Genomic DNA, 23,615 nt, shown 5'->3' with positions numbered 1-23,615 from the left:
TATTTTTCCCAGATTTAAGCCATTAGTGACTACAACATAATTACTGAATGCTCAAGAAACGATACATAATACAAATCAGAGGCCAGAAGCTGGCAGCACATCTGTCCCAATGTTTTTTAAAATCAGGAAGTATTACAGGAAAAATCTAAATGGCTCTTTTTTCCTGAATAATGGGAAGATCTGGCAACACTGTCTCATAATCCTTCATGGCCACAAGCACAGCTGAGAAGGTGCAGGCAGATCCCTTTAAATTAACCAAAAGGATGCCAACTTGCCATAAACTTCATTTCCCTCCAGTATCTTACTACTGATTTACTTCACTGATTTATATTACCTGCTCCATTCTTCTTGTGAGCATTTGCCTTTCTAGGCCCTTGTGTTTGCAACCTCTGGTATACCTATATATGGCATAGGAATTCAAATAAATGATTCTGTGAAAGAGGTAGAAAATAAGCTCAGACTTTAAATAAAGGATGTGGATCAACAGTGTGGCCTAACAGAAAGAGAAACACAGCACAAGCTACAGCAATAAGGAAGGGAAAGCACAGGTATGTAGAGAAAGCCCAAAAGTTTTATCTAGAAGCAGCTTACAGCAACTAGGTAATCAATGACAGAGAGTGTGGCATAATGCTTTGGCATTAGATTCAAATCCCAGTTCCACTACTTAGTACTTAAGTGCTAAGCTAAGTTACTTAAGCCTAAGTTTGTGTTTCTTCAGCTACTGAGTTATTTAACATTTCTTCAATTAATGAAATACAATAGTATAGTTGTACTCAACACTTATTCATTTCTTCCACCACCTTATTTCATAGCAGAAGAACCTTGCCAGAGGCAGGTAAAGTGATTTGTCTAAGTTCACATAGCTGGCATAGAGTCAGAGCTTCCTTGTTTTTTACTCAGTTCAGGGTTATGTTTGTTTTTAAACCACACCACATCAATTAATAACAAGAATGACCTTTTACAGAGAGGAGAGGTCATTTTGTAGAATAGGAGGATATGACATTATGTAACACCAGAATGTAATATTTAAAAGTCTTAAGCATCTGAAAGAATTTCACTTATGTTTGGTAATTATATATAAAGGCTGTTTTATCTTAAGACACATTACACAGTAAGACATAACATACTACAACAACATCAAGTTTCTTGTAAGTTTAAAACCTTCATTAGCAACTTAGTAAAATGTTTACAAATTCTTCTAGGCTATAAAGAGTATTTATTACATTATTTAGGTGGCTGCCTCCTGACAAAGTCTAGCTCTTGTTCTTTGTTAACAAAAACCAAACTCATCAGCCTGCAACTACTTCTAAGTGAAGTGGAGCACTATTTTTTTTTTCGGTATTCAACTTAAAAGATCTCTGGCCAGCAGACTAAAATGTTTGTTTTATAATTGCCCGCTGAACTATGATAGTTTGTTTCCAGATGGTGCCCTTCCTTCAACCTGCACACAATCTCTCCTTGTTCAAAACTATTCAACCTCCTGCTGATCCCACCCCCCTATTTAAGGCTACAAAGAGGAAATCCTAAGGAGATTCCCGCCCCCAGTCTCCAGCAATTTTTGGTGATGTAATATGTGGGCTGAACTTGAGTCTACTGAGAAAGAGGGAATCACTATTCAGGGGTACTGTATATACAATCTGGGTCAGCTGCAGCTGGTTACTGCATTTCTCCATGTGGCAGACAGAGCAAAGCCACAACGCTTTCTCTGCTGGATTAAAGACGGCCCACAGACCAGAACTTCCACTATACTACTTAAAATTACATAGGTGGCTTGTCAAATTCAATTGATTAGTATTGTAAAAGGAAAAAGAAGTTCCTTCTTACAGCTTGGATTCAACGGTCCAAAACAAAAATGCAGCTGCCATTAAAGTCACAGATGAACAAACTTCTACACTGATTTTTAAAATCAAGAATAAGGGCAGCAAGTTTCTGGATTCACTGAATCAACAGACACAAAAAGGTATTTAATATTTCTTTTATTTAAAAATATTATGTATAGCAAATGCATAACTATTTTATATTTGTAGTAGAAATTTCAGAATCTTTTACTAAACAAAGACCTTTGGAATATACTACAGTTTATCTCATCTGAAAAAGGTTTTATCTTGCAACTTGACATAAAAACATTAAGTACTGTGCAATGGTTAATGCATTATTTGAGGTTCAATTTAATGATGTTTAGTGTATATGATTACAGACTGATACATGCATGCCATGCTGGGTTTCTGAAAACAAGTGCTTTAGTGACAGTAGAAAGAAATTTTAACAAGTAACAGATTAAATGTATAAGGCTTACAGCACAATGATTAAAAACAAAGGAATACAAACTAAATAGTCGTGAACACAATTAGTTTCTCTTCCTGCAGCCACAGTGTGTGTGCTGAAGATATACATAAACTGTTGGATTTCTCAGTGTAGTCATAAAACAAAGCTAAGATACAAAAATAGTTGAAAGTCTTTGCAACAAAATCTCAATTACAGTATAACCAAATATTAAGCAGAAATTCTTGTACAGATTTAAGATTAATCTATGGCATTTCTTGTTCCAACTCAAAATTTTAAATAGCTTTCCAGGCTTACATGTAATAGTAATTTAATTTGGATGACAGAAATTAAACTTGCTACAAATGGAATCACTTGGAAAAGCTAAGTTATTGATATACACACAAAAGCATTATGTAAGTGGTATTAACAATAGAAAATAAGAACCCAGAAGATGTAATTAAATTCATGACTAAAAGGCCAAAAATATGTAATATTTTAGGTAGAAATAATTTTGTTAAGCACACATAAGAGGTTTCCTTCAATATTCTATCTGGGAGCTTTTTTTACATGCATTATAAAAACTATTAAAGATAAAATTACTCGTTACCAATAGTATGCCTTAAACCAAAGACACTTAAGTTTGTTAGATTTGGGGCTCCTTTAGCCTTGTAAAAATTAAAGATATTAATGGTTAAGAATCTTGAACAAGCAAATAATGGTAAAGCTAAAATTTTTTCCAACTTTGCTTTTGTGTCCTTTCCTTAAAGATTTAAAACTGTAAATGCTGGCAGGATTTCTGTTAAACACATATTTTACAAGAAATTCTAACAAAATTTCCAAGCAACAGTGGATCTGAAATACTGTCATCTCTCTTTTTTGTTGTTGCATGCTATGGGAAGTGCAGGACTTCATTAAGCCTCAGTTCTTACTGACGCTGTCTTAAGGCAGGCATTTAATCTGAACCCCAAATTACACAGATAACTATTTATCCTTTTCTTAAATATATCCAGGGGATTAGATTGTTCTCAAGTCTCTTCCCAGAACATATTTCACAATCTAGAAATTCTTTATCTAACATATCCTGAATGCTTCATAAATTTAACTTCATTGCCTCATGCTGTTTTCAGTGCATGACACAGCCAGTTAAATGCCTCTGTGAGTTTACCATCTGAAAGGAGGCAAATCCTGACTTTCGTTTCTTCTCTCTACTAGCTGGCAATATAGCAACTATGAAGAGAAAAGCTACTAATAAAATTAACCCAACGCATAGAAGACTTTTTTTTCTCTTCTAAAAACAACTAAGTAAAGACTTAAATTTAAACGTAAGTATTCTATAACTAATTTATAACATTCTCTTGGGGCCTAGGAAAATTTTAACATATACAGAAAGTTTTATGAGGTAACATAGATTTATGGATCTTTTGCTTCAAAACTGAACATATGTGAGAAAATATTAAATAAGAGAATGTTTTCAGAAAACATAACAGTAAATGTATTTTTAAAACCAGTTCTTTACTCCTGACGTAGCTAGTCTACTACTTAAGAAATGTGGCTCCTTGCCCTGCTTTAAGTGACAGTGAAGCCAATACTTTTGTATTTATTAAAAAAAAATTATATTTATTTAAAAACTAAACTTTTAGTTGCCTCCTTTAAATGCTAATTTAGACCACTTTCTCTTATGGTAAACAGTGATTTATCTTATGATTTAATCTTATAGGAACCACAATGAGCCAAGGCAGAATACACACAAGGAAGCTGTTTTTGTTTTAATTTAGATTAGCATTTTGGTGTTTTTTGTTCTTCAATGACAACACTGATGCAAAGTCCTAACAGCAGTCTTGGATGATGCGCTTTTAGCTGTTTTATAAAAATCTGTGTCTGGTATTAATACAAGCTGTTCAATCAGAATATTGCTCATAAAATTCTATTTGTTTTAGAGTTTTATATTACTTCCTGCATTTTCCTTGTTTTGGTAGTTTATTTCATAGTAAATATTATTTAAGTAAAATAATTTTATGATCTCAGAGTTTCCATTCTAGTATTAAAATGAATGGACTTTAGCAGTGGTAAGTTAAATTAAATATATAGGAAAAATGATATGCATGTGCCCAGGAGGATGATGGCTTTTATTTCTTGTCCCTAGTTTTTAAAATAACCCATATCTAAATTCCACGAATCTGGAGATATAATAAATGTTTTATTGGTTTTTGGTATAGGTAACTCCTACATAGTAAAAGTCTATTTTTAAAAATAAAATAGATGACTGTTTCTAAATTTTCTATATATGTCAGAAAGCAAGGTATGAAAACATAAAAAGCTAAAAAAAATACCCATGTGTGCTTTGGCTATCAGTCAGCAAAAGAAGGCCTCGATAGAAATACAGATTGTTATGTCCTCCCTATCTTTTGTTTTCATTCCCTCTCTTGTTAGTAAAATAATAATAATTCTCCATACTCCATCTATATTTGCCTTATTTTCATTATCTACCCATTTTGAAGACACTATTCAATTGAAAAATACCAAAAAAGGAACATGGTTTTAGAAAGTGAAAGTAGCAGTAGTCTTCATGACGACAGCATAAGAGTTATATTTCATTGACATGACCTTTGTTTTCGGGAGGGGTCCATAATCATAGGTTAGATATATAACTATCAGCTGACAGAATACATACAGAAGGAAAGAAATTGCCGCAGAAGAGTCTGAGATGTAAAAAAATGATCTGGCAGAACGTGGACACAAATTCTACCAAAAATTATCCATAAATACTTTTGCATAATTAAGTAACCGGTCAATGAAAAGGGACATAAACCAGGAAAAGGCAGCGAAAAACAAGAAACATAAACTTAAGACTCCTCTGTGGTTATGACATGACTAGGGTAAAAATCATAGGTCTAGAAAAGTTAGGAGTAGAAGGTTTGAATCCCATTTGAGTGATTTAGCTTCTCAAGGATTTTCCTCCTTTATAAAATGATACAGCATTACTTCAGTGTTATAAATGCAAATAGTTAACATGTGTTAAGCTACATAAATACAGGGGATTGAAAACATGAACTCTGAAGTCTTCAGCCTGGATTCAAATTCTCGCTCCATCACTATGAACCTGTGTGACTCTTGATAATAAGGTACTTAACTTTTGGATGCCAAGTTTTCCATCTGAAAGTGGGGATCATAATAATCTACTTCATAGGGTTGTGGTGATAAGTAAAACATGAAAATGGCTTAAAACAGTGCCTAACACTGAACAAGCACTCAATAAATATTAATTACTGTTATTGTGTTGTTATTAACAACAGGCATAAACAACTTAGGAGCTGGTTTCTTAAATCAAGAAACAGGTACTTATGTGGAAATTTGGACAGAAAAGCTCTGTCTTAGGGTATCCACTGCCATCCTTCAAAAATGGCAGATAGGTATGAAGTTCGCAAGAGTGAAAAGGTGGCCTGTAATAGACCAGCTCGTTAGTAGATCTGACAGAGTGAACATACCTTACCCATTCTACTTCTGCTACTCTTGTGGGAGGTAACTAGAGAGAAAGGAAAAAGTCTTGGCTCTTGAAACTGTTTCCTCAGAAGAATTTGTACTATAAAGAAGTATTTCTCATCTGCTACAGCAAAAACGAAACATTCTAAGCACATATTTTAGTATAGGTGCTGCTTCTATAAATACTGACTATGGGTCAGAGAATCCGATCTAGACCTGGTTCTAATCCTTGTGTGGCCTTAGCCTTCAACATGCACAGAGTACAAAGAGGTTCTTGAATGACAGGGTCTCTAAGGCATTTCCAACTCTGACATTCATATTCAATTACAGACAAGTTTCTTTCCTTGGTAATGGTTGTAGAAAATTACTAACATTTTACTAAAATACAGTTCAGTAGGACTTCTGTTAGAAGAACAAACCTGCTGAATTATCTATAAGCTCAGAGTACATATAATTACAGTTCAGGAAATATAATTACCCACAATGACTGTGAGCATTCTATCATTCTAAAACCTGTCACTAATCCCAAAAGGAGATGCTATAAAAATAAAAAGCATGTGATGCTAAAACTATCTGGGTTTAGATTTCCCTAAAATCTTTAACTTTATTGAACATTTTAATGAAGATGACATAATTTATTACAGAGGATCAATTTAATTGGAATTGCATGGTATGAATCTAAAACATTGGCTAGTAAAGTCACCTGGTAATTTTAATACTAGTTAGGCAAGAATGTTTTAATTAATGCCTTACAAACACTGTGTACCATTTTCATAGTCTTAAGGCAGTGAGCTTTTTAAAGGTAAGAAAGCTATCTTATCAGGGTCTCAAAAGCCTCAACAGCACTAGCAGCGTATCTTTGCACAGAGTAGACACTGACCAAAATCTGCTCAATAAACTGGGGAACAAAAAGGATTACAATAAGGTGGTAGCTGGAAGAGTTATTCTCTGAAACCTAATCTTTAAACAAATGCCAAAGTATTACAACTTAATATTAAATTTAAGAAATTAATAAAGTTAATTCTAGCCTAATCTATTAACACCAATAAATATTCAGTTTTTCCCTCAGATAGTTTTTAAGATTACTGACTTTAACATAGATTAATATGAATTCTTTTTGCTTTTTCTCCTTCACTGATTTGTTTTTCAAAAGACATCATTTTACAACCTCATTTCAAAATGAAGACTTTTACCTGGACCCTAGGTGTGCTATTCTTCCTACTAGTGGACACTGGACATTGCAGAGGTGGACAATTCAAAATTAAAAAAATAAACCAGAGAAGATACCCTCGTGCCACAGATGGTAAAGAGGAAGCAAAGAAATGTGCATACACATTCCTGGTACCTGAACAAAGAATAACAGGGCCAATCTGTGTCAACACCAAGGGGCAAGATGCAAGTACCATTAAAGACATGATCACCAGGATGGACCTTGAAAACCTGAAGGATGTGCTCTCCAGGCAGAAGCGGGAGATAGATGTTCTGCAACTGGTGGTGGATGTAGATGGAAACATTGTGAATGAGGTAAAGCTGCTGAGAAAGGAAAGCCGTAACATGAACTCTCGTGTTACTCAACTCTATATGCAATTATTACATGAGATTATCCGTAAGAGGGATAATTCACTTGAACTTTCCCAACTGGAAAACAAAATCCTCAATGTCACCACAGAAATGTTGAAGATGGCAACAAGATACAGGGAACTAGAGGTGAAATACGCTTCCTTGACTGATCTTGTCAATAACCAATCTGTGATGATCACTTTGTTGGAAGAACAGTGCTTGAGGATATTTTCCCGACAAGACACCCATGTGTCTCCCCCACTTGTCCAGGTGGTGCCACAACATATTCCTAACAGCCAACAGTATACTCCTGGTCTGCTGGGAGGTAACGAGATTCAGAGGGATCCAGGTTATCCCAGAGATTTAATGCCACCACCTGATCTGGCAACTTCTCCCACCAAAAGCCCTTTCAAGATACCACCGGTAACTTTCATCAATGAAGGTGAGTTACCTCTTACTGTAAAAAGTGGGAGTATGAGGTTTATATTTTTATGCCTTATGAAACAATGCTCATAATAAATGCTTATTCATTTTGCGATGTTATATATGTACATTAAAATTTCTATTGTTTTTTATTAATATCAAGAATTGAACTTAAATACATCTCCTCTTCCAGCTCTGAAGTTCCAGGAGTTTATAAAAACTTAATGTATTCTGTGAAAAAAACCAGTCTTCCATCCAAATTCTTATGATCGAGGGGCTACTATTCTTGAGACAGGAATAAGTACATGCTCCACTCCGAACCACTCCTGTGCACCATAACCATCCTATCAGCTTCTAGCTAGGTCGTCGCTGCTACCCGACAATTCTTTTATTTACTTCCTGCTGCTTGTACATCATCTTCTTCAAAAGAAACATGTAAAATTTTGCTTTCACTCTCTTCAAGCTGTAATTACACCTCATTATCTCCACTCTCAGCAGATGACTCAACTACTACTATACTGAGTAAGTCTAATCAGGTCCTGGGTTTTGTTCTTTCTTATCTTGAAAGCATCTGTACAAAAGCCATGCCTTCTTGCCGTCAGCCTCAAGAAAAGGTATCCCTCCTATTTTCCAAGGCTAAACAATTAGTACTGTGTATCCTAAGAAATATAAATGTTCATTATTATAAAAAAAAACTATTGCATTGATCATGCATGATTCCAAACTCTACTTTTAAATTTCATTTCTTTCTCTCTTCATGCATTCAATGTCAGTCACTGATCTAGGTGTCCAGAAAGCAAAGATGAATAATTCATCTTTGTTTCAGTTTACTAAACCCACTGCTAACTTTCTGAATTCAGTATTTTATGTTTATTTTACACTTGCATCCATTTTCTCACAACTCATTCCCCAGAATCCTTTACAAGCTGATTTGCTTCCTTAGAGTGGAAGGGAAAACCCAAATGCCCCAAAGCAACGAGTAAATAAATTGCAGCTCATTCACTTATTGAAAAGGCAGGACATAAAACATATACTATGAAATAATTTTAAACAATAACAATAAAAACACAGACTAAAGACTAGAAAGAAATATATCATGAAGTGGTTTCATCTCTCTGTCAGTGAATACCACTTCGCTATTCACAGCCCTGCTTTCCTGGCCTTCTACATTTTAATATTCTTCCTTCACTTCCTATTTCTTTAGGTCCTTCACTGGCATCTTCTTCCTTCTATGCCTTAAAGTCTTTCTTCAAGATATTCTACTTTAGAGTATTTTGGCTTCAAGTATCACCACTGCTCAGATGATTCCTGAATGTAGCTCTCCCTCCTGATTTAACCAAAGCTAGACGTTTGCATTTGGATATTTCACCATTACCTCACATGCTACTGCTTTCTTTACTGAAACACCTTCTTTCAGCTTATCTGTCGTCAATTTAGCAGATCTCAAGGCTTAACTCAAATAATACCTCTGATGTTATGACTTCCTAGATTCAAACAAACACACCTAGGTGGCTTTTTCCCCAAATCACTGACTATTTCTTAAACATGTTTTCTATATGATATTACACTGAAGTTATTTATTTATGTCTGTCTCCTTGCTGGTCTGAATGCTTCTGGAAGACAGTTAACTGTCTTTTCACCATTTGATCTCAACATCTCTGTTTTGATTAATGTTGTCATCCATTTCCAAATAAGCTTGGCTCATCTTTGATACTTCCCCAGCTGCCCCATACACAGTCCACTGAATTCTACTCATGTCCCCTTTTTGGTCTCTTGTGTGCATGTCCCTCATTTCTATTCAGAGCCAGAACTCTTGTTTAGATTCAAATGATCCACAGCAGCAGCTAGAAGACAGAGACTCCATAGGCTACCAGCTGTGTGATCTTAGGGGAAAGAAAATTATCTGTGCCTCAGTTTCCTTACCTGTGAAATGGGAATAACAGTATTTACTGCATAAGATTTAACAATTGAAGAGTGCTTAGAACAGTGCCTGGCACTCAAATGTTAGTTCTTACTATGAACTGTGTAATAGCTTGCCAACTGGTGTAACTCTGTTTTCTCTCTCCATCAAAATATATTTACATTGCCAGCAGATTCATCTTCTTAAACTACTCACATATCTGCTTCTGCAAACAGAAAAAGTCCAATTTGCTTAGTCTGGCTAAGAATAATGTCCTCCTAAAGAATGAAGCCTACTTTCCTAGCGGACCTTCCACTAGTTTCCTTCACAAAAACCATCTGTTCCAATAAAACAAATTCACTCATTTTCCCCTAAATATTTTCATGCTTTCTGCCTACTCAAAGAATAAGGCTCAAGCCAAACCAACCAACCAACCAACCAAATAAATAAATAAATAAATAAATAAATAAATAAATAAAAAAAATGCAACTCCTCCTTGAGGCCCTTGTTGACGCCTACAGGTTTGAAGTGATCGTTCCTCTCCATGAATACCTCTACTCTCTGTAACATACATAAGACATTTTGTATAGTCCCTCTTAAATTATCAATTATCTTTACATACACTCAGAATACATCTAACTAAGAGGCTTTCCAACTATATTATAAGCTCCTTCCTGGTAGATGGTTACAGTGTCTTACCTGCAGTTGCTAAATATGTGTTAGTTGATTTGGTGACATTTTTATAGAGCTTCTTAAAATTGTCATTCCAAAGACCCTCATGAAAGTAATTTAATACGTTATATCATATTGGATTTGTTCATTTTATACTGTTCTAAGTTACAGTAGCAATAGGCCAGAGTATCATTAAATTAAGTAAATGATTATCATTATTAATATCCTCGCCGGGCATGGTGGCTCATGCCTGTAATCTCAACACTTTCGGAGGCCGAGGCAGACGGATCACTTGAGGTCAGGAGTTTGAGACCAGCCTGGCCAACATGGTGAAACCCCGTCTCTACTAAAAATACAAAAAAGTATTGGGCATGGTGGTGCGTGCCTGTAATCCTAGCTATTCAGGAGGCTGAGGCAGGAGAATCACTTGAACCTGGGGGGCGGAGGTTGCAGTGAGCCGAGATCGCACCACTGCACTCCAGCCTGGGCAACAGAGTGAGACTCAAACAACAACAACAACTACAACAACAACAAACAAACCTCAATCCCTTTGATTTCCAAAGGAAAATGCAGTGTATAAAGTGACCCACTGGGTATAGAAATAAAAAACAGAAAAAAAATTGCTTTTGATATCCTTTAAAAATTTTGTTTTATGTAAGCTTTTATATAATTTATCAGTAGTTTGTATACGTAAGTTATAAATAAACATAATTGAGCTGTGTGAATTTTTTTAACTGATGAGGTATACAATTATGTAAGTATGAAGACAACTGCCATGGAGTATTCTATGTGATCCCTGAAGCTTGAGTGGATGGTATAACCAATTCTAGCAGAAATCACTATTCACATTTTTAAACACTGACAAACTTTTCTAAGAAAATGTTTATACAAAATGAAACATACCAATTCTATGTTTTATTATACACTTAGCATTAGTACAAAAAAAAAAACCCACGAATGCTACAGAATTAAACCTCATATTAGGGATTTAGTATGTCAAAAGTCCTCTTAAACACATTTTGTTTTAATGAAAACATGGTGTACCTATCCCCAGTGAAACTTTCTTTAACACAAAAATTAAGGGCAGATAACTTTTTCTGTTATTCATTATTTGTTTTATGTAAACATTAACTTTTTACTTATTTTATTCTATAAATGTGGATCTCTTAAATTCAAAGGGATAATCTGCTAGACCATAAGAATTACTATACTAATTAGTACATTAATGAACATATAAGGGAAAGAGCATGGAATTAAGAACACCTGGTTCTACCACTACCTTTGTTATGTGACCTTGGGTAAGTCACTGCCAGTTTGTGTTTTCTCATTTGTATAATGAGAGTGCTGGACTGGATTATTCTAATATCCTTTTCAAATTCTAATATTCTGTGATGCTTACTAAATTAAATTACTACAAGCAACAACAAATAGGCTGGCTATTTTCCTTACACAATGTGCTCAATTATTCACTTATGTTATTTTTACATCTGTCTGGAAAAAAATGTCTCAGGCTGTTTAGGTGCTTGCACAAAAAGGGTAAAGATGGATGGCTACTGGTGTACTTATGTATGCTCTGGCACCAAGAAATTCCTATTACTGTACTTTACATGGAGGTACATGGTCATTCTAAAGTCTCCACATGCATAAGGTGAAAATATACAACAATGTATATTTTAAGAGGTGTTTAGCCAGTTACAAAAGATAAACACTGTATGAGACTCTACTTATATGAAGTATTTAGAGTGGTCAAATTCATAGACAGAAAGTAGAATTGTGGCTGCCAGATGTTAGGCGGAGGGTGAATGGGGAGTTGTTTAATGGTTATTTAATAGTTACAGTTTTGCAAGATGAAGAGTTCTGGAGAAGGATGGTGGTGATGGCTGTACAATATAAATGTTCTTAATGCCAATAAACTGTACATTTAAAAATGGTGAAGACAGTAATTATGCATATCACATTTTATAAAAGATGTTATGACAATCTTTTATTTTCTTTAAAAATGGTTATAAGAAAAATCTACCTCAAAAAACCCATGAAGTTATAAAAAATAGTATTTAGATAAAAAACATTTTTCAAACACATTACCTTCTTCTCTACCTTAAAAACAAAATGTTTGAGAATGTAATAATACACCTGACAAGCTGCAATCAATGAAATTCTTAACTATTAATGTTATTTGGTGCCTGCATTTTGGGTTAGTCTTTTATTAAAAAAAATTACTCTTTTACAAATAGCGTATTTATAAAAACAAGTTTATTCCTTGTAGGAGAGCTGAGTGGAGAAAGTTCCTTCACCATGTGTAAAAGCATAGATCTGAGTATCAGTAAACTTGGATTCTGGCAAAGCTTTCTGGGGTCCAGTTGCCTCTTTTGTAAAATAAATTGTTGTGATGATTAAATGAGGGGGTACAGGTAGAAGTGCTTTGTGTAGCCGAGACGGGTGGATCACGAGGTCAGGAGATCGAGACCATCCTGGCTAACATGGCGAAACCCCGTCTCTACCAAAAATACAAAAAAATTAGCCAGGCGTGGTGGCGGGCGCCTGTAGTCCCAGCTACTTGGGCGGTTGGGGGGGGGGGGGCGGGCAGAGGCAGGAGAATGGCATGAACCCGGGAGGCAGAGCTTGCAGTGAGCCGAGATCGCGACACTGCACTCCAGCCTGGCGACAGAGCGAGACTCCGTCTCAAAAAAAAAAAAAAAAAAAAAGTGCTTCGTGTATGATGTGGCATGGTTTGACCACCATTAATCATTGCATATTTTGTACACTTCCCTTTATGTGTCTTTCCTTGTCATATTAGGTATATGAGGACATAAATGGTAAGCTTAAAAAGTTAAAACTTCGTAGTGGCGGGCGCCTGTAATCCCAGCTACTTGGGAGGCTGAGGCAGGAAAATTGCTTGAACTCGGGAGGCGGAGGTTGCAGTGAGCCGAGATCGTGACACTGCACTCCAGCCTGGCGACAGAGCGAGACTCCGTCTCAAAAAAAAAAAAAAAAAAAAAGTTAAACTTGGAAAGTAGTCATTAGAAACTAAAAATATGCTTTTTAGTGGTAGGCTTATTTTAAATCACCAAATATTTACATTTTTCAAATTATTTATAATGCTTCTTAATATACTTTTTAGGTATAATTGGTTTCAATGGAATACTTATACTAACATTTAATACAAAACAAAAAAACTAGTTAAGCCAAGGTGCTGTTGGAAAATGACTGTATTAGCCAGTTATGAGAACGTAATTGATAAATTCTTTAATAATTAAAAGTTTGGGTTGCTAAATACAGTTTAAACATACAGATTAATAAACTAAGTAATTCATATTATTACAGAAAGACCCTACTGTCACTTCAGAAAGTATTTGTCTCAAACTTCCCACTCCAGAAATGTTGAATATATTTAACTGAAAGTTAATGCACAACCCAACTGAAAAGTTTACCTCTCAAAAGATCCTACTTGGTAACCAATAATTTGAAAGCTCTGAATTGGTTTACTGTTTCTCCTGTCATAAAAAGGATTCTCTTTGTAATCTGTAATTCTCTTTGTAAAAGCTCTTTTTACAGAAAAAGAACACATATGTTACAGATGGCTCCCAGTAAAGCTGCTATTCAAAGTGTGAAATCCTTTTTTCTTTTTTAACTCACTGTTCTATTCAAAATATGGGTTCTTAATAAATACACCTTGGGAAATAATGTGGCATGACTGGTCAACATTTTTCTTTCTATAAATCAGAGGTATTAATATGGTTTCATTAGCCCTATGTAAACTTTAATCCTCACATAAATTGAGGAACAGAGAGACTGGTTCTTCAAATTCAATGTACAGAATTCCAGTTGCCTGCTTTGAGAAGACTCTTGCAAAAAATAGTTGATACTATGCTTAGTTTAAAAGAAAGGTAATTCCAGTTTATACCTTTTGAATCATCATGAACAAATTCCTGATTCACAGATCAATCAATTTATTTCTGAAAATATGCAAACCTGTGAATTAAATCTGGCTTCTCAAGAATAAAGCTTAAAATTTTCTATTTGTCATTAATTTCTTTCAAGCAATGTTCTTTATGGTACAGAAAAAGCAGTGAAAACATTTAAGATAGGGACAATAGAGAATCTAATTTTAGGGCAGAAAGTAAATAAGATTTTCAAGTAATAATGAGAAAATATTTCTGCTAGGATCAACAATATACACTGGACTAAGACAGGTTAATGGTATGTTTATAAAAATAAATACAAATAAATATTGAATTCTGATATCTAATATCTTTACTGAGGAGAAAAAAATAGCTTTAGGCACTGCTAAATTTTATCCATATGTTCTGGAAAAGAACTTCAACTACATTTCCCTAAGTCTAACAGATATCCAACTGTAAACACAAAGCCCACTGCAAAACATGGGTTGAAAATTAAAGCTGAAGATAATCTTAAATTTGCATAATTGAAGTCTTATGAAATCAAAGCTGGATTCAGAAAACCAGAACTCTCTATTTTGCTTTAAACATCTGAGTGTCTATTAAATAGCAAAAAATGAGTATAGCTCTATGGAACAAATGATACTTGACAAATATTCTGTCAACATTCAGAACACTGATGTTTCTAAATATTCTGCAGCAAAGCAAATAACCTAATAAAAGTCCAACCTTTGAATATATACTTAAATGTAAACTGTCAAAACTATACTCAAATGAATGCAGAGTAAACATTTACGAAAATGATATTCATAGAATAAGCAATAAGCATAACATTTACAGAATATGCAAATTTATAAAATGAGATAAATATATATATGTTGTAACAAAACTACTTTCATGTGTGCATTAACTATAATACTAATAGGTTTTAAAGTAAGAGCAATGCTCCTCAGATATCTCAGCTAGTTCTTAGACTTTGCTACCATGTGCGCTACATAACTCCATCAAAGTACTTGTCATATTATAGTGGAATTCTCTCTTTCTTGTGACTTCTCCCACCCCCCACTTGACTCTAAGGTTGTTTCTTTATCCCTTGAGCCTAAAACAGTCCTTAGCCTGTAGTAGATGCAGAAAAGACATTTCTTGAAAGAATAATGCAGAACTAAGGGAATTCTGGGAACCATGCCTACTAGGAATCACATAGTTTCATATCTACATATCTGAATTCCTAAGTGGGCTCAAACTGTGGATACATACTGAAAGATAAAGTCCTTGCCTATGAATACTGTAAGTATACAAATATACTACCTGCATTACACGCAATAATCTAAGTATGAACCTGGGAGTCATAATTTACTTTTCCTTCCATCTCACTCCCACATAAGAAATTAAAATTCTGTAAATTTCATCTTTTCTGAAATATAGGCTCTTTACCCTTCCTTCCTACTTGACTACAATGCATGTTTCTATAATGTGAAGTAGCCCATATGTGACTAGTGAAAAGGAGAATAGTGGTAGCAAAACAGAGAGGTTATACTGGTTTACATGGGATTTTTTCCAAGCACATTAATGTTTTGTGCCACAGGTAACTGCAGCTGAATACAAATTATGTTAAGAGCTAAAATTGGCTACTATTTTTAACGCATGAATTTGCAGAACATGAGGTTTTTCAGTAATATTTATCTGCAGTAGAAATGACTGTACATTCATCTTTGATGAGCTATATTAAATTTATTAAATAAGCAGACATTAAATAAGCTACTTTATTAAATAAGCTACAATTATGTGTTAAGATGAGGAATAAAGGAGAAACGAAATAACTAACAATTACCGATGATGACTACTTTGTTGGGTATAGTGTTAAGGGCTCTGAATACGTTCACTAAGTTGAGTCTATCCCAGAAGCACAAAGTTGGTTTAACATTCAAAATACAATCAATGTAAAGGCTGGGTGGAGTGGCTCATGCCTGCAATCCCAACACTTTGGGAGTCTGAAGTCCGACTTGAGACCTGGAGTTCACTTGAGACCTGGAGTTCAAGACCACCCTGGGCAATGTACCAAGACCTCATCTCTCAAAAAAAAAAAAAAAAAAAAAAAAAAAAAAAATTAGCCAGGCAGGGTGGCACTTGCCTGTAGTCCTAGCTACTTGGGAGGCTGAGGTGGGAGGATCACTTGAGCCCAGAAGTTCGAGGCTGTGGTGAGCTATGACTACACCACTGCACTCCAGCCTGGGAAACAGGCTCCAAAAAAAACAAAACCCAAAACCATATATATATATATATATATATATATATATATCTCTCTCTCTCTGGAAAAGTACAGGTAACACAGTTCTCAAAATTTCAACAATCCTATTCTCCTTATAGTACAGAAATTCTTATAAGGATAAAACTATTATCCTTATCGTACAGAACTTTTACTTGACTAAACTCTCACATATTTCTAGTAAAATATAAAATTTGACAATCAGAATTTTTATACATTCTTTGTTCTAATATATATATTTTGTTCTTATATATATTACTTTTTTGTTCTTATATTAGATATTATATATAAAATGTATATATATTCAATGTAATTCGTGTATTAACAAACAACAAAAAGAAAAACCCTATCATCATCTCAATAGGCAGATAAAAAGCCTTTGATTCCTGTGATGTGTCTAGTTAGAAAAGAAATTAAAAAAGAAAAGATTTTAAAAGCCTTTGAAAAAATCCAAAATCCATTCATGATAAAAACTCTCAGCAAACTTGGAACTGAAAGGACAATAATTTTAAAGTAGTGGTTGTAGCTATTTTCAATGTCTTAAAGGAAAATATGTTTATAACGAATGCAAAGATAGGGCATCTCAAAAGAGAAATAAAAACTATAAAAAATCAAATTGCAACTCTAGAACTAAAAAATACAATACCTAAAATAAATATAACGCAGGAAAGACACCATAAATAAGGCTTTCCAGTTTCTCAAATTTTTACTAGTCTGTACTACTTATGGATATTGCATTATAATTTTTAAAAATTTAAGAGAAAAATATCAATGAACTATAATAAACATTTGGACTAGAGAAACTGATGTCCTCTTGATTTTTGCGTGTACTTTTCAATTTCCTTGTATTTAAAATGAGAAATTTAATCAACAAAAAATTATAGACAGTTTCCTAAGGGTTTAAACACTGATGATATGAAGTAAAAAAAAAAAAAAAAAGTCTCTGTCCTCACGGAACAATCTACAAGGAAGAGATCATAGTCTCTAAGAATCCCTTCTATTGTTATAGTTGTGTAACTACCTAATGAGATTAATTCTATCCCAGTAAGACCCAAAAGGAATACTGTACATATCTGGCAAAGTATAGATAACACATTTCTCAAAATTTCAACAATCCTATTATCCTTATAGTACAGAAATTCTTGTTAAGAACTTTACTTGACTAAACTCTCACATATTTCTAGTAAAATATAAAATTTGACAATCAGAATTTTTATACATTTTTTGTTCTAAGAGATCTTTAGGGTAATTCTTTTTTCTAAATCCATTAATATATTTTGCATGTTTATAAAAAAGGCTCGAAACACTGGAGAAGGATGATATTCACCTGATCCAAAAATGTGGAAATCTCAAGTTCAAGAGTCAGACACCCTAAAAGTAATTTCACAAAATGTGTTGTCACTTGTAAAATTTGAAGAAATTATTAGTGGATTAAAAATGGAGAATACCTAAAATTATGAAATAACATGAGGGCAAATGCATGCAACACAGCAGTTCAGAGCAGGGACTCTGGGATTAGACAAGGATTTATGTCTATCTAGGGTTTACCATCTTCTGTGATACATGACCTTAGTTAATCGTTCTATCTCTAGAACATCTATCAACTATCACCAGGTAACTGTAGGTTAAATGAGAAAATTACTATTAGTCATACAGATTGATACAACTCTTTAGATACTCATTTATGCTAACATTCCTGAAATGTATTCTCATGGGCTGTTAGTAAGTGTTGTTGGGGGAAATTTAAGATTCTATGAGTTTGGGCATCTGGTTTATTTCAGGGCTTTTCAGTCTTTAATATGTGAATGTACATTGAGAATTTCCAAAAGGGAAACATAATATTTTGCATTTCTAAAACTTATTTGACTGACCCCATTTGCAATGAGTATCTCAAGGTACTAGTATGTTCCACTGAAATCAAATTTCCAAAACTGTAACTTGGGTATTATGTAGGACTATGAATAAACTGATATCCTCTGATCCAGTAGATCGATCCCTCAGCATTTTTATAATATTAAAAAATGAATTCAATAAGAATGAAGACACTTTGTGCAGTGTTTTTATAATAGCAAAAATCCATAAAACCTCAATGTCCAATGATAGAAGGATAAAAATATATCAATGTCAAGGATTATTATGCAGCTAGAATGGAGACTATAGCTGCATGAAAATGTTAAGACAGAATCCAATTTTCTACATGTATTAGGATTATAACAATATAAAAAATACATATATGGAAAAGAAAAGAACAGATGAAAACGAAACAAATTAATGTTCCAGATAGAACTGGAGTCACCCTTTTATTTAGTTATATTTTATAATATTGTATATATGATAAACAATGGTAACTGTAAACAAAGACACAAAGGTAAAAATCTTGATTAAAAACTTTTAACATGTCTCTTCTCATATTAAGTTTGCTGATAATAAATGATATTTAAATTATAGGACCATTCAAAGACTGTCAGCAAGCAAAAGAAGCTGGGCATTCGGTCAGTGGGATTTATATGATTAAACCTGAAAACAGCAATGGACCAATGCAGTTATGGTGTGAAAACAGTTTGGACCCTGGGGGTTGGACTGTTATTCAGAAAAGAACAGACGGCTCTGTCAACTTCTTCAGAAATTGGGAAAATTATAAGGTAAATCAGTGATGCAGACCTAAGGGAAGTAAAACAAATCCATTCTTGCAATAATGCAAGAAACAAGATGCTATGCAATAAATAAGACACACAGTTAAAAATAACTATCCATATGTTTTTTCATTATCTACATCTGTCAAAAAAATGATTCTCATCTCTGGTTTTAAAGTCAAAATTAAATTGCAAAAAGGAAACAGAAGATATACTTTTAAATGATCCCTTTCAGTCTGGATGACTTATACTTACTACTTTACAAAGATTACTATTAGGAAAAAAATGTTGGGCTCTTTAGATGAATATGAGAGAGACCAGGAACCCTTTTTAAGGATCTGGGTAGTATACTAGCTAATATTTTTAGTAGCTATGGATAAATTTTATTCTCATTTGCATTGTCTTATTTGTAGGATTTGAAGCTAGCTATGCAAATGAATACTGACATATCAGAAGCAAAAAACAAACAAACAAAAAGAGAATGACAATGTGTGGCTTATAAAACGCAAGTGACCAACTAAAATGGAAGCTCACATTACCACTTAAATGGCCAGTATCTTTATGCTATCGAATGTTTAACACTGCTCTGTAAAAATGTTTACTATCTCTATACTTATTTATGCACTCATGTTTCTTCACTTATTAACAGAAAGGGTTTGGAAACATTGACGGAGAATACTGGCTTGGACTGGAAAATATCTATATGCTTAGCAATCAAGATAATTACAAGTTATTGATTGAATTAGAAGACTGGAGTGATAAAAAAGTCTATGCAGAATACAGCAGCTTTCGTCTGGAACCTGAAAGTGAATTCTATAGACTGCGCCTGGGAACTTACCAGGGAAATGCAGGGGATTCTATGATGTGGCATAATGGTAAACAATTCACCACACTGGACAGAGATAAAGATATGTATGCAGGTAAGTATGAAAAACTTTCATTCTTTGTAGAATCATCACCTTCTATGCATTAAATAGAATCTACTAATATATATGCTACTAAAGTCTTTTCAAAAAGGTCAGTTTTGGTCACTGTGGCAGGAAATACAACCAACCTACTGAAAGAAATAGCTTTTAGGATTTCTTCTATAAGGCAATCCCAAAGTGTGATCTATGTGAAAAACAAAGTTCTGGGAAAAAAACACAAAGCAAAACAGAAACACATTAATCTGGAAATAAAATGCAAGTGCCTACAATTCATAACAAATACTAACTGAACACCTACCACGTGCCAGGCACTGTTGTAGGTGCTAGGGATATAACAGTGAACAAAGTTCCCGCCCTTTGGAGCTTACTCACTGGAGGAGAGACAAAACAATTTGTTAGGTGGGAATAAGTACTCTCAAAAATAAAACTGAGTAAGAAAATAGAAAGTGGTGGGCAGCAAGGCCTGGGATGGCAGCTATTTTATATGGGTTCGCCAGGAAAATCTGCTGTGAGAAAGCAACATTTGAATAAAGAGTCGCAAGAAATGAAGGATGCAAGCCATTTGGATACATGGTGTAAGAGCATTTCTTTGAGGGGGAAAACCAAGATGACTGTGACATGTGGCATAGGAATAACAAAAAAGCTTGATTCAAAGGGGAAATTAATATTTTCATTAGAAAGAAACAACTAGACCATCCACATAATTTCAAATTTAGTTTTCATATGCTTTTGACTTTTTAACCCAGGTTTCTTCTCGTCCTGATACAGAGATCCCCTCCTCCCCTCCACCCAACAATTCTCCCCCATCCCTGTCCCAAACTGGTTTTTCTCTCCAGCTGTATTTTGGCAAACAGCACACAGGTCTCTATTTTAACCAATTTTACACTGGTAAACGAGAAAAGAGGAGAGATAGACCATAACATATGTCTTATTTACAGAAACCCATTTGACTGCTGGTTTTATTTTACTTTGTATTATTTTTTGCTATTTTATTTTGACAATTCAATTTTCCTCAGACTTTTATCTTCTTCTGTATCTTTCCTTCCCAATTTCTCCCTCTGTAACTCTTTCACATATAAACACTGCTTGCATCTACTCTGCTAACTAGAAAATTAAATCCCCCTTTTTAAAAAAGTACATTGTAAGCAAGCAAAGAGTTAAAAAAAGGCAATTCAAGTGATTTTTCAAGCAGTTGATGCAACAGCCATCAAGTAAGTGAAGGCATTTAAAACTGCTGAGATAAAGGTAACTGGGATTAGTAAGGGAAGTTCAAATTAAAGGTAGAATAAGTTTTTTATGATTGCAGAGTACCACACCTAGAAGAAACTTTTACATTTATATCTGTATTTTTTCCTCAAAGGAAACTGCGCCCACTTTCATAAAGGAGGCTGGTGGTACAATGCCTGTGCACATTCTAACCTAAATGGAGTATGGTACAGAGGAGGCCATTACAGAAGCAAGCACCAAGATGGAATTTTCTGGGCCGAATACAGAGGCGGGTCATACTCCTTAAGAGCAGTTCAGATGATGATCAAGCCTATTGACTGAAGAGAGACACTCGCCAATTTAAATGACACAGAACTTTGTACTTTTCAGCTCTTAAAAATGTAAATGTTACATGTATATTACTTGGCACAATTTATTTCTACACAGAAAGTTTTTAAAATGAATTTTACCGTAACTATAAAAGGGAACCTATAAATGTAGTTTCATCTGTCGTCAATTACTGCAGAAAATTATGTGTATCCACAACCTAGTTATTTTAAAAATTATGTTGACTAAATACAAAGTTTGTTTTCTAAAATGTAAATATTTGCCACAATGTAAAGCAAATCTTAGCTATATTTTAAATCATAAATAACATGTTCAAGATACTTAACAATTTATTTAAAATCTAAGATTGCTCTAACGTCTAGTGAAAAAAATATTTTTAAAATTTCAGCCAAATAATGCATTTTATTTATAAAAATACAGACAGAAAATTAGGGAGAAACCTCTAGTTTTGCCAATAGAAAATGCTTCTTCCATTGAATAAAAGTTATTTCAAATTGAATTTGTGCCTTTCACACGTAATGATTAAATCTGAATTCTTAATAATATATCCTATGCTGATTTTCCCAAAACATGACCCATAGTATTAAATACATATCATTTTTAAAAATAAAAAAAAACCCAAAAATAATGCATGCATAATTTAAATGGTCAATTTATAAAGACAAATCTATGAATGAATTTTTCAGTGTTATCTTCATATGATATGCTGAACACCAAAATCTCCAGAAATGCATTTTATGTAGTTCTAAAATCAGCAAAATATTGGTATTACAAAAATGCAGAATATTTAGTGTGCTACAGATCTGAATTATAGTTCTAATTTATTATTACTTTTTTTCTAATTTACTGATCTTACTACTACAAAGAAAAAAAAACCCAACCAATCTGCAATTCAAATCAGAAAGTTTGGACAGCTTTACAAGTATTAGTGCATGCTCAGAACAGGTGGGACTAAAACAAACTCAAGGAACTGTTGGCTGTTTTCCCGATACTGAGAATTCAACAGCTCCAGAGCAGAAGCCACAGGGGCATAGCTTAGTCCAAACTGCTAATTTCATTTTACAGTGTATGTAACGCTTAGTCTCACAGTGTCTTTAACTCATCTTTGCAATCAACAACTTTACTAGTGACTTTCTGGAACAATTTCCTTTCAGGAATACATATTCACTGCTTAGAGGTGACCTTGCCTTAATATATTTGTGAAGTTAAAATTTTAAAGATAGCTCATGAAACTTTTGCTTAAGCAAAAAGAAAACCTCGAATTGAAATGTGTGAGGCAAACTATGCATGGGAATAGCTTAATGTGAAGATAATCATTTGGACAACTCAAATCCATCAACATGACCAATGTTTTTCATCTGCCACATCTCAAAATAAAACTTCTGGTGAAACAAATTAAACAAAATATCCAAACCTCATAGTGGTATTATTCTTTGTTTTACCTGTGGTCATCTTAAACTGGTTTTTCAGTCCCTCTCCACTTCCTTCAGAACCAAAGAATCTGTTATAAGATTCCTGGAAGGAACTGGGCATCTAACTGTTACACCAAATCTTAAGTGAATAAAACTTTACCAAGGCTTCTCAGTTATTGAAAGCAGTATATCATTTCATTTAAACACCCAAAACTTTATCAAAGACAAGCCTTACAGAATTTTCACAGAAGAATATCATTAAAACTAGAATTTGAAAGTCAACATACAACCTTGGAAAACTAGGCTGAATGCTAAACTGCCTTAGCCAATGGGCCCATTCTGCTCTCCTTCAGAGAGCTGATTTATTTTACTCTGAAGTTCCTAGACAGCATAATAACTTGGGCAACTAAGTTTCTTGAGAGGAGAGAATAAGAAGCGGTATTATATGATAGTTAGTGTAGGTTCTGAAGTCAGAACTGCTTGGGTCTGTGGCCCAGCTCTACCACTTGCTAGCTGTGTTACCTTGAGCAATTTATAAACTCCTATCTCAGCCTGAATCTATAAAATGGGGTATAATAAGAATATCTAGCTCGTGGTTTTTGTGACGATCAAATAAATGAGTTAA

General features: G+C 34.0%; 2 protein-coding genes across 13 annotated transcripts in view; one reads left to right on the top strand and one right to left on the bottom strand.

Annotated features, from left to right (window-relative positions):
- The window catches only part of RALGPS2 (Ral GEF with PH domain and SH3 binding motif 2), a 196,597-nt gene that overhangs the window by 49,140 nt on the left and 123,842 nt on the right, over nucleotides 1-23,615 (bottom strand). The window lies entirely within an intron of this gene.
- ANGPTL1 (angiopoietin like 1) lies at nucleotides 1,624-23,166 on the top strand. 4 transcript variants are annotated; one of them, NM_004673.4, is made up of 6 exons: nucleotides 1,624-1,960; nucleotides 3,478-3,587; nucleotides 6,899-7,747; nucleotides 18,914-19,107; nucleotides 19,748-20,018; nucleotides 21,385-23,166. In NM_004673.4, the coding sequence occupies exons 3-6, from the start codon at nucleotides 6,925-6,927 to the stop codon at nucleotides 21,570-21,572; spliced, it is 1,476 nt and encodes a 491-aa protein (NP_004664.1). In that variant the 5' UTR covers nucleotides 1,624-1,960; nucleotides 3,478-3,587; nucleotides 6,899-6,924; the 3' UTR covers nucleotides 21,573-23,166. The 4 variants fall into 4 exon arrangements, 3 of the variants coding, with proteins under 3 accessions (NP_004664.1, NP_001363692.1, XP_047289667.1); NM_001376763.1 differs by lacking the exon at nucleotides 3,478-3,587; XR_002957991.2 differs by lacking the exons at nucleotides 1,624-1,960; nucleotides 21,385-23,166 and adding an exon at nucleotides 19,512-19,647 and having other exon boundaries at nucleotides 3,372-3,587; nucleotides 19,748-19,822.

The sequence above is a fragment of the Homo sapiens genome, chromosome 1 (genome assembly GCF_000001405.40).
Source record: "Homo sapiens chromosome 1, GRCh38.p14 Primary Assembly".
Taxonomy (NCBI): domain Eukaryota; kingdom Metazoa; phylum Chordata; class Mammalia; order Primates; family Hominidae; genus Homo; species Homo sapiens.
This window is presented reverse-complemented; position numbering and strand designations above follow the sequence as displayed.

Bases quoted from the DNA above. Each gene is read 5' to 3' on its own strand.
- ANGPTL1 (NM_001376763.1), top strand. From the start codon at position 6,925: ATGAAGACTTTTACCTGGACCCTAGGTGTGCTATTCTTCCTACTAGTG. The intron at 7,748-18,913 runs GTGAGTTACCTC...TTTAAATTATAG, and splicing joins GGTAACTTTCATCAATGAAG to GACCATTCAAAGACTGTCAG. The intron at 20,019-21,384 runs GTAAGTATGAAA...TTTTCCTCAAAG, and splicing joins AGATAAAGATATGTATGCAG to GAAACTGCGCCCACTTTCAT.